The 11,625-nt window shown below is 47.4% G+C and overlaps 3 annotated features.

Annotated features, from left to right (window-relative positions):
• Nucleotides 1,602-1,661: a silencer, noted in NCBI's record as "silent region_12945". NCBI's record gives its function as "represses an Ori minimal core promoter by ATAC-STARR-seq in GM12878 lymphoblastoid cells {active_cell/tissue: GM12878}" and the evidence as "EXISTENCE:reporter gene assay evidence [ECO:0000049][PMID:35858748]".
• Nucleotides 6,280-6,780: an enhancer, noted in NCBI's record as "H3K27ac hESC enhancer chr20:43307109-43307609 (GRCh37/hg19 assembly coordinates)". NCBI's record gives its function as "activates a minimal SCP1, AML or CMV promoter by ChIP-STARR-seq in primed H9 embryonic stem cells {active_cell/tissue: H9 hESC(primed)}" and the evidence as "EXISTENCE:reporter gene assay evidence [ECO:0000049][PMID:30033119]".
• Nucleotides 6,781-7,281: an enhancer, noted in NCBI's record as "H3K27ac hESC enhancer chr20:43306608-43307108 (GRCh37/hg19 assembly coordinates)". NCBI's record gives its function as "activates a minimal SCP1, AML or CMV promoter by ChIP-STARR-seq in primed H9 embryonic stem cells {active_cell/tissue: H9 hESC(primed)}" and the evidence as "EXISTENCE:reporter gene assay evidence [ECO:0000049][PMID:30033119]".

Below are 11,625 nucleotides of genomic sequence, written 5' to 3'. Positions count from 1 at the left end.
TCCTATGTGACCTCAGGTAAGCAACTTCACCTCTCTGGGCTTTCTACTTCCTCACCTATAAAATCGAAATAATAGCCATTCTTCTCACTCTCGGCGTTGTTGGAGGAATAATCCGGTGATCGGGCTTGAAGGTGCTTCACAGAGTGTGGCAAAAAACAAGTGCTAACTAAACAGTGGCTGGGATTCTTGACATTCAGAAAGACCCAGTGGAGAGAGAGAAAGGATGACGGGAGCTTAGCAAAAGAAGCAGCTGGTGCAGCTGGAATTTCATAGGTCCACTTCTGCCTAGCCAACTTCTAAACCTGTTTTCTCTTGGCTCCCTTACTTTCCAGCCAGAGGCTCAGTCATACTGCAATGCTGAGAACTCCCTGCCTAAGCCAGACAGGGCCTTGACCTTTCCCCCACGTTGGGCTGGGCACACTAGAGTGCTGAGCAAATCCACACTCAGCACCTCCCCTCCCCCCCCCACACACACACATACACAAAGCCACACATGCAAAGCATTTGGATATCTTCTTCCAGGGAGCTTATAGACACCCCAGCAGAGGCTTCTGTGATCACACTGGCTGAGCACCAGCTCTCTGTGTGGTGCTGGATGAGGGGAGTTTTATCTGAGCCACTCTGGCCCCCCGCTGTAGGGCCCTGTCCTCTTATTTGACATTCAACTCTTGCCTAATTGACAATTACACTCATATCCTTCCTCTGCTCTGCAACCTTCCATGGCTCCCCAGTGCCTACCACCTAAGGCCAGATTCCTCACCCTGGCATTCAAGGCCACTCATGGCCTTGGATGGTCTGTGTGTGGAGGGGCCCACTAGGCTACATGAGGAACGCTCTCTCAAATCCTGCCCTTCCTTCAAGATTGAACTAAATGCCACTTCCTTCCTTCCTTCATTTCTCTACCCATTCATTCAACATGATTTATTAAACACAAAATGGATTTATTAGCACATATTTATTACCTACTATGTGAAGACATTATTCTAGGCAGTGGAGAGAGATAGTGGTCTCAGCCAATTGCAACTGAAATGTGTTAGTTTTGCAAATGTGAAACATATGCCCATGCGAATGCGTTGGAAAGTTCCTCCATGGCCCTGGGAGAGGACATGCAAGTCAGGAGCCCTGATGCGTCACCAGCCTCACAGTAAATTCACCTCTGTGCCCAAGAATGCAGGGCTGTCTCCTGGTCCAGGATCATGGTCTCTTCCTCCTCTGATCTCCAAGGACTTGCACTCTCGGCTCTGCCACTGACCAGCTTTGTGACTTTGGGAAGTCATTTTTCTAAGTCTCAGATTATGTATGTAAATGGGTATATAGGAAGTGATTCCTACCTTGAGAGAGGAATTAAATGTTAATTAAATTGCTTAAAGGGGTTAGGTTACATTAGATTAGGTGTAAAAACGTCTGCACGTGGTAAGTGCTCATTGAGCGGCAGCCATTATTATTACTATTAGCCGCAGCTGACTTGGGCAACACCTGCTACCTGCTTCCAGATGGATCCAGAGGTTTGCTTTCTTTGCCCACTGGAGGGCAGCAGAAAGCAGAAACCTGCCTTCCAGAGCTTTGCACCCCGGCTAACACCTAACACTGGCCTCTCAAGAGGCAGGAGGAAGGGTAAGGGGTTTCTGGGCTCAAAAGTGAGGCTGGCCAGTGAATTTTCTGTGTCTCTAGGACTGGATGCTAGTGGCTGGGGTAGGTTCCCTAAACAGCTCCAATCAATGCAAAGGCAGCCAAGTCATCCAGCCCACAGCCCCAGTGTCCGTCCCTGGATGCATCCCACAGTCCTGGACAGGATGGGCAGGAGTTCTGGCCTCTGGAGCTGCTCTTCGCATTTCTGTCTGTGTGACCTTGGGCAAGTGCCTTGACCTCTCTGTGCCTCCATTTCTTTTTCCGTAAAATGGAAATATTGCTGTTTCCCCCAAAAGGAAAAGCTTCCATATATGCAGAGGGATGGCCATGCTTGCGTTGCTTTGCATCAGGTAAATCTGTTACATTGTAATTAGCTTTTTTCTTCTGATCACAAATGCAATGCATTAATTGGTTTGAATATTTTGAGTGCCCTACAGCAGGTCAACCCCTGCATGAGCTGATGAAATTGGCAAAAATGAAGCTAGTCATTGTGTTGGGGTGGTGGGATTCTGGATGACAGAGTTCCCCCCTCAGCAACCGCCACCCCATTCTCCCAACTTTCTATGTTATTGCATCGCCTTTACAATGGTAGAAAAGAGAGACCAGGAGGAACGTAACTGAGCACTTACTATGTGTGAGATGTTTCCATTTATCCTTTCCCTAATTCTGCAGGCTCTACACGGCAAGCCCATGTCTGTGTTGCTTGCTGCTGTTTTCCCAGTGCCCAGCACCGTACCTGGCATGTCGTTGGTCCTCAAAACATACTTGTTTAGCAGTCAAAGAAATGATTTGTGCAAAGTTTACAAATGAGGAAATTGAGGTTCAAAGAGGTTATGTGACTTGTTCAATATCACCTAGCTAGTGGGACGCAGGACCAGGATCATTGGACTTCAGGTCCTGAGGAAGGTCTTTCTACTCATGCCTGTCCCTCTGCCTCCTCACATTCCGACACCCTCTTTGTAAAGCTGTCTTATTTTACAGGCATCTGATCAGGCGGCCTGCAAGAAGAGTGCGCCCCCTTAGCCAGTATGGCCACGCTTCCTCCCTTAGGGGCTGCTGGGTGTGCCCCTCATCTTCTCAACCCCCTGGGGACCCCTGGAGGATCTGGAGCACACCCTCCAGCTGGGGGATTTGCCCAGCAGGTGAGGCCCCTTAGTCGCTGTAGCCCATTTGGAAGTTTGGCAGGTGGATTTCTAGTGCAAGGCCACCTCTGCCCTCTGAGCTCAGAGCCACCTATTTCTGCCCCACCCAGTCCTGCACACAGCTGGTAGCAGGTGCAGGGAGGAGGCAAAAGCCAGACTTTGCCCCTTTATCTTGCACCCCTTTTCCCATTCTCAGGCAGATGTGTGTCCAAAAGTGTTTGACCTGTGCTGTGTGCATATGGGAATATGCACATATATACATGCGTGTCCCCATGCACATACCTGTGGACATGGGCAGCCCTGTGTGTGAGCACACATGTGTGTCTGAGTGTGGCTTGTGCGATCCTCCATGTGCCCATGGGTGCAGACGTGAATCCGAGTGTGAACGTGAGCTTATATGTAGCTCTGCATGTGTGTGGGTAATGCTGAAGGATAGACCACCAAGCAGAAGGGCATCTCCTTGCCCCGCCTCAGTTTCCTCATCTGTAAAATGGGGACAACAATGGCACCTAACAGGTGGAACCGGCAAGGCACACAGTAAGTGTCATGATAGTAGCCCTTTTTATTAAGCTTCTCGGGGATGTGTGCGGATTCCACAAAATAAGAACGCAGAAAGGGACTGGCTCAAGAAATGTTTCTCCCATCATTCTTTCATCCTTAGGTCCAGAAGTATTTCTTCTGTTCTCTTGGTTTTATCACTGCAAAGGTAATATAACAACAGTGGAGGAAGTTTGAGAAGAAAACATGGGGAAGGGGAGATACCTGTCCCCCAAAACCCCACCACTCCCGACACAAGAAGGAATTTCATTTTTGCTTGTTCTTTTCCTGACTTTGTCCATGAGCCAGCATGGAGCTTGGCACACAGCGCCGAGCTCGAAAAAAATATTTGGATGTTTTAACAAATATATATTAGCTAAAATGACTACACTGAGTATTTTTCCATCCTGCATTTGTTCACACATCAGGGACATTTTCCATATGATAGCTGGTCTTTATAGTTATTATAATTATTATTATTATTTTGAGATGGAGTCTGACTCTCTCGCCTGGGCCGGAGTGCAGTGGCTCAATCTCGGCTCACTGCAACCTCCGCCTCCCAGGTTTAAGCGATTGTCCTGCCTAAGCCTTCTGAGTAGCTGGGATTACAGGCATGCACCACCATGACAGGGTAATTTTTGTATTTTTAATAGAGATGAGTTTTCACCATGTTGGCCAGGCTGGTCTTGAACTCCTGACCTCCAGTGATCTGCCCACCTTGGCTTCCCAAAGTGCTGAGATTACAGGCATGAGCCACCACGCCCAGCCCAGTATTTATAATTATTAAAGATAATAGGCCAGGCGCGGTGGCTCACGCCTGTAATCCCAGCACTTTGGGAGGCCGAGGTGGGCAGATCATGAGGTCAGGAGATGGAGGCCATCCTGGCCACATTTCACAATGTGGCCTAGTGTTTCCACATTGTGAAACCCCATCTCTACTAAAAATACAAAAATTAGCCGGGAGTGGTGGTATGTTCCTGTAGTCCCAGCTACTTGGGAGGCTGAGGGAGGAGAATCACTTGAACCCGGGAGGCAGAGGTTGCAGTGAGCTGAGATCATGCCACTGCACTCCAGCCTGTGACAAAGTAAGACTCTGTCTCAAAAAAAAAAAAAAATTAGGAACTACCTACTGCTATAGACGAGTCACTTGTATTAAGAAATGTTATGTCGCAGTAATGAACATCTTTTTCCATCTAGAATTTTTTTTCTTTCTTTGGAACAGGTTAGTGTTTCCACACTGGGAATAGGGTGTCCCAGAATTTATAAAGGGGATTCCACTGAAAAAAACCAGAAACATTAACCGTCAAGGCCATGCAAATCAAAGCCACAATGAGATCCCACTACACACCCCCACGAGGATGGCTACAATAAAAAAGACAAACAATAATAAGTGTTGGTAAGGAATCAGAGAAATCAGAACTCTCATACATTGCTGACAGGGATGAAAAAAGTGAACAAAGCCAGTCATAAAAGACCACAGGCCTGGACGCACTGGCTCATGCCTGTAATCCCAGCACTTTGGGAGGCCAGGGTGGGAGGATCACTTGAGCCCAGGAGTTCTAGACTAGCCTGGGCAACATAGGGAGAACCCATCTCTACAAACAATTTTTTAAAAATTTGCTGGGCATGGCGGTGCACTGTGGTCCCAGCTACTTGGGAGGCTGAGCAGGGAGGGTCATGTGAGCCCTGGAGTTCGAGGCTGCAGTGAGCTGTGATTGCACTGTTGCACTCCAGCCTGGGCAAGAGAAGGAGACCCTGTCTCAAAAGAAAAAAAAAAAGACCCCATGTTGCATGACTTCTTTTCTATGAAACATCTAGAAAGAGCAAATCCATAGAGACAGAAAGTAATTGGCAGTTACCTGGGGCCAGAGGGGGGTCGGCTGCAGGACTGACTGCTGATAGGTACAGGGTTTCTGTGGGGGATAATGAAAAAGTGCCAAAATTGATTGTGACAAATATATAAAAAACTATTGAATTGTACACTTTATCTGTTGTTGTTGTTTTTGAGACAGAGTCTTGCTCTGTTGCCCAGGCTAGAGTGTAGTGGCATGACCTTGGCTCACTGCAACCTCCATCTCCCGGGTTCAAGCGATCCTCCTGCCGCAGTCTCCCGAGTAGCTGGGATTACAGGCGCCCACCACCATGCCCAGCTAATTTGTGTATTTTTTGTAGAGATGGGGTTTCACCATGTTGGCCAGGCTGGTCTCGAACTCCTGACCTCAAGTGATCTGCCCGCCTCGGCCTCCCAAAGTGCCAGGATTACAGGCATGAGCCACCACACCCTGCCTGAATTGTACACTTTAAATGGGTGAATTGTATGGCATGTGAATTTTATCTCAATAAAGCTGTTATAATCAAGTATTTTTTTAAAAAGGATGGAGACCCAAGATGACAATAAAAATGCACGCCGTCATTTACTGGGAGCAGGGACTATCGCCAAGACTCATTAATCTCATGTATCTTTCACAATAACCCTATTGGCTTATTTTCCCCATTTTACAGATAAGGACGCTGAGATTCAGAATGACTAAGTAACTGGCCCAACGGCACTTAGTTTTTTAGCGGTAGAGGTGTGATTTGAACCCAAGCTCATGCTCAATTTGAAGTACTTTTGTTGCCTCTTTAGAAGGCACCAGGAGCTAACGCACCAGGCCGACAGCACAGACAGGGGCCCAGGATCGGGGCCTCCTCTCTCCCCTGCCATTATCTGGCCTGGGCAGCCACAGCTCACAATCAGGGCTCTCTATCTCTCCCTCAGGCCTTCTCCCTGCATCTCCCTGTGTATGGCCCCTCCAGTAGAAACCCAGTGGAGGCTGATCTGGCAAACAGATCTGACTCAGGCCTCTCCAAGGCAGCTCTCAATCCTGTCCACCAAGTAGCCTCCGAGACTTCCCAACTTTACCGCACAGAAATAATAATACGTGTGCACAAAGATGCACAGACAAAGATGTTCAACATAGCATTGTTTCTAAGAGGGAAAAACTAGAAAGAACCTAAATGTCTGACACTGGAGAACCAGTTATTCCACGACGTAATGCTCAGCCCTTAAAAATCCTATAGCAGAAGGATCCTTTCTGACATAGAAAAATGTTCACAGTATATCAAGTGAGAAAAGCAGAGCCCTCCTAGCCGCTGCCGCCTGCCCCCCAGGCCAACCCCTGTTTGCATCTACAATCCAGCCACATTAACCCCCTTCTGGTCCCCCAAATGCTCCAGGCTTTCTCTTCTCAGGCGTTTGCAGTTGCTTCTTCCTCTGCCTGGAATCCACTTCCCATCCCATCCCTTGTCGTTCTCTTTCAAGCTGGCTAACTCTGCTGCAGCCTTCAGGTCTCAGCTGAGCTCTCTCTTCCCCTGGGAAGGACCCTTGGGCCCTCAGGATGGGGCAGGGTCCCTCCTCTGTGCTCTCACGGCCCTGTGGGTCACCCATCATGGCCCCCATCACCCTCTCTGTGACTGGCCATTTAAATGTCTGCCGCCTGCATTTGACTCCAGAAGACAAGTCCAGACCTGTCTAACTGGCCTGACACTGCTTTCTTAGTGTCTTATCTCAGAGGAGGCCTCTTCCAGTGACTTCTGTGGCAACTGGAGCAAAAGCCAGACTGCTCTTCATGTTCTCCAAGGCCTTGCTTGGTCTGGCCAGTGCCACATGTTTTCCAACATGCCAAATGCATGCCTGCCTCAGGACCTATGCATTTGCTGTTTCTTCTGCCTGGAATAAATGAAAAATAAATAAATACTTTTTTTTTTTTTTTTTTTGGAGATGGAGTCCTTTCTGTTGTGCAGGCTGGAGAGTAGTGGCACGACCTTGGCTCACTGCAACCTCTGCCTCCCGGGTTCAAGTGATCCTCCCACCTCAGCCTCCCAAGTAGCTGGGACTACAGGCATGTGCCACCATGCTCAGCTAATTTTTTTTTGTATTTTTATTAGGGATGGGATTTTGCCATGTTGCCCAGGCTGGTCTCAAACTCCTGGCCTCAAGTGATCCGCCTGCCTCAGTCTCCCAAAGTGCTAAAATTACAGGCATGAGCCACAGTGCCCAGCCATAAATACAATAATTTTTTTTTTTTAAAGAAAATTTAGGCCGGGTGTGGTGGCTCACACCTGTAATCCCAGCACTTTGGGAGGCCAAGGCGGGTGGATCACGAGGTCAGGAGATCAAGACCATCCTGGCTAACATGGTGAAACCCCGTCTCTACTAAAAATACAAAAAATTAGCCAGGCATGGTGTCAGGCGCCTATAGTCCCAGCTACTTGGGAGGCTGAAGCAGGAGAATGGCGTGAACCCAGGAGGTGGAGCTTGCAGTGAGCCGAGATCGTGCCACTGCACTCCAGCCTGGGCGACAGAGTGAGCATCTCAAAAAAGAAAAAAGAAAATTTAGTGCTTTGTTGATTTAAATAAAATTATCCTTGGTATTTTAGTGAGGAAATACTTCAAAGCATGACTTTACCTATCTCAAAAGCAGATATTGTTATGTGCTATTAGGATATCTGGACACCCTGCCACCATAGGAGTTTGCCCTTGCAGGCATTACTAAATCGCTTCCTTCACCCAAAACATATCATGGCCATGAGTTGTGACTGCCAAGGAATGTGCCTTGCTAGTTTGAAGATGCAGTTGATTTTATTATTTTATTATTTTATTTTATTTTTTGAGACAGAGTGTCACACTGTCACCCAAGCTGGAGTGCAGTGACACGATCTCAGCTCACTGCAAACTCTGCCTCCCGGGCTCAAGCAATTCTCCTGCCTCAGCCTCTCAAGTAGCTGGGATTACAGGTGCCCACCATCATGCCCAACTAATTGTTGTACTTTTAATAGAGATGGGGTTTCTCCATGTTGGCCAGGCTGGCTTTGAACTCCTGACCTCAGGTGATCCGCCCACCTCAGCCTCCCAAAGTGCTGGGATTACAGGCATGAGCCACTGTGCCCAGCCACAATTGATTTTAAAATGGTGTCACCCTGACTCTGTTATGCTCCTGTTTCCCTAACAGTGTCACCATGGACCCAGCCTCTTGCCATCTTTGCACTCTGCCAATGTCAGTGTGTTGGCAAAGTGAGTTTAAAATTGTAGTCATTCATCTAGCCAAAGTGATGATTCAAATATTTCAAAAAGCAAACTTTTACTCTTTCATAGAGAGGAGACTGAATTTTCCAAACAATCAAAATGTCACGTGCGTCTGTGTGAAGAGACCACCAAACAGGCTTTGTGTGAGCAACAAAGCTGTTTATTTCACCTGGGTGCAGGCGGGCTGAGTCCGAAAAGAGAGTCAGCAAAGGGTGGTGGGTTTATTATTAGTTCTTATAGGTTTTGGGATAGGCGGTGGAGTTAGGAGCAATGTTTTGCAGGCAGGGGTTGGATCTCACAAAGTACATTCTCAAGGGTGGGGAGAATTACAAAGAACCTTCTTAAGGGTCGGGGGGGGGGTTACAAAGAACCTTCTTAAGGGTGGGGGAGATTATAAAATACATTGATCAGTTAGGGTGGGGCAGAAACAAATCACAATGGTGGAAAGTCATCAGTTAAGGCTATTTTCACTTCTTTTGTGGATCTTCAGTTGCTTCAGGCCATCTGGATGTATACAGGCAGGTCACAGGGGATATGATGGCTTAGCTTGGGCTCAGAGGCCTGACATTCCTGTCTTCTTATATTAATAAGAAAAGCAAAACAAAATAGTGGTGAAGTGTTGGAGTGGCGAAAAATTTTGGGGCTGGTATGGAGAGATAATGGGCAATGTTTCTCAGGGCTGCTTCGAGTGGGATTGGGGCAGCATGGGAACCTACAGTGGGAGAGATTCAACTGAAGAAAGATTTTGGGGTAAGGGGTGGTATTGTGGGGTTGTTAGAAGGAGCATTTGTCATACAGAATTATTGGTGATGGCCTGGATGCGGTTTTGTGTGAATTGAGAAACTAAATGAAAGACACAAGGTCTGAATAAAAGGAGAGAAATAGGTATTAAAGGACTAAGAAGTGGGAGGACCCAGGACATCCAATTAGAGAGTGCCCAAGGCTGTTCAGCGTAATTACTTGCTTGGTTGTTGAGTTTTTGGGCTGTATCCTTGACAGAGTCCTCCTTTTTAAGTTGGAGGCTGAGCTTGGTGAGGTGTGTCTTGAAAAGACCATTAGTCCGTTCCATCTTTCCTGAAGATTGAGGACGGTAAGGGGTATGAAGTTTCTACTGAATACCAAGAGCCTGAGAAACGGCTTGGGTGATTTGACTAATAAAGGCCAATCCGTTATCAGACTGTATAGAGGTGGGAAGGCCAAACTGAGGAATTATGTCTGACAGAAGGGAAGAAATGACCATGATGGCCTTCTCAGACCCTGTGGGAAAGGCCTCTACCCATCCAGTGAAAGTGTCTACCTAGACCAAGAGGTATTTTAGTTTCCTGACTCGGGACATGTGAGTAAAGTCAATTTGCCAGTCCTGGGCAGGGGCAAATCCCCAAGCTGGATGTGTAGGGAAGGGAGGGGGCCTGAACAATCCCTGAGGAGTAGTAGAATAGCAGATGGAACACTGAGAAGTGATTTCCTTGAGGATAGATTTCCATGATGGAAAGGAAATGAGAGGTTCTAAGAGTCGGGCTAGCGGCTTGTAACCTACATGGAAGAGGTTATGAAATGATGACAGAATAGAATGGGCCTGTGAGGCTGGAAGGAGATATTTTTCTTGGTCCAAGAACCATTTGCCTTGTGTGGGAAGATATTGATAGGTGGAAGTTTCAGCAGGAGAGTAGGTGGGAGTGACCCATGAGGAGGAGAAAAACTGTCTGTGAGGGACAGAAGTTGGAATGCTAGCTCTTTCTTTAGCTACCTTATCAGCATAAGCGTTGCCCTGAACGATGGGATCTGATGCCTTTTGGTGGCCCTTGCAGTGTATGACTCCAGTTTCCTTTGGAAGTAAAGCGGCCTTGAGAAGAGTTTTTATTAAAGAGGCAATAATGATGGAGGACCCTTGCGTAGTGAGGAAACCTCTTTCAGCCCATTTAACACCATGGTGGTGCAGGATATGGAAGGCATATTTAGAGTCAGTATAAATATTGATGCGTAGTGCGTAGTTCCTTTGCAAGAGTGAGGGCTCGAGTTAAGGCAATGAGTTCAGCTTGCTGAGAGGTAGTGGAGGTGGGCAGAGTGGTAGCCTCAATGATAGATGTGGAAGATACTATAGCATAGCCTGCCTTTGCTGGTGTGTGGCGATTAGGCCTAGTGGAACTGCCATCAATATACCAGGTGTGATCAGGGTGAGGAACAGGAAAGAAGGAAATGTGGGGAAATAGAGTGAATGTCAGGTGTATCATAGAGATACAGTCATGGGGGTCACGTGTGGTATCAGGAATAATGTGGGAGGCTGGATTGAAGTCCGGGCCAGGAACAATGGTAACTGTGGGAGACTCAACAAAGAGTGAGTACAGCTGAAGGAGCCGGGGAGCAGACAGTATATGTGTCAGGTGTGAGGAAGAAAATAGATTTTGGAAGTTATAAGAACTGTAGAGAGTGAGTTGAGCATAGTTTGTGATTTTGAGGGCCTCCAAAAGTATTAGGGCAGCAGCGGCCACCGCATGGAGACATGATAGCCAGCCTAAAACAGTAAGGTCAAGTTGTTTGGACAAAAAGCCTATAGGGTGCGGTCCCAGTCCTTGTGTACGAATTCCAACTGCACAGCCCTACACTTCGGCTGCGTGTAATGAAAAGGGTTGAGATGAGCCAGGGAGAGCTAGTGTGGGAGCAGTCTCTAAAACTGTCTTCAAGGAACAGAAAGAGGAGTGGGGAAAGGATTGAGAATCTATGGAGTCAGCTAGGTTTCCTTTTGTGAGTTTATACAATGGTTTTGTTAGGATGGCAAAACCAGGTATCCAAAGACAAAAGTATCCAACCACGCCCAGGAAGTAAAGGAGTTGTTGTTTTGTAGAAGGGCCTGGGGTTTGAGAGATCAGTCGGACACGATCCGCAGGGAGAGCGCATGTGTTGTTATGAAGAATTATGCTGAGGTAGGTAATGGATGGAGAAGAAATTTGAGCTTTGGACAGGGATACCCAATATCCCTTGGAGAATAAATGTTGAAGGAGCAGGAGGGTGTCTTGTTGAGAAGATTCAAAGGAGGGGCTACAAAGTAGAAGGTCATCAATATATTGAATAAGGCAAGAAGCAGAGGGGTGGAAAGAAAGTAAATCATAAGAAAGAGCTTGGCTGAAGTAATGAGGGCTGGCCCTGAAGCCTTGCGGCAGTACAGCCCAGGTAAGCTGCTGGGACTGATGGGTGTCAGGATCGGTCCAGGTAAAAGCAAAGAGAGGCTGGGACAAGGGGTGTAGGAGAATAGTG

This window comes from Homo sapiens, chromosome 20 (genome assembly GCF_000001405.40).
Source record: "Homo sapiens chromosome 20, GRCh38.p14 Primary Assembly".
NCBI classification, from domain to species: domain Eukaryota; kingdom Metazoa; phylum Chordata; class Mammalia; order Primates; family Hominidae; genus Homo; species Homo sapiens.
This window is presented reverse-complemented; position numbering and strand designations above follow the sequence as displayed.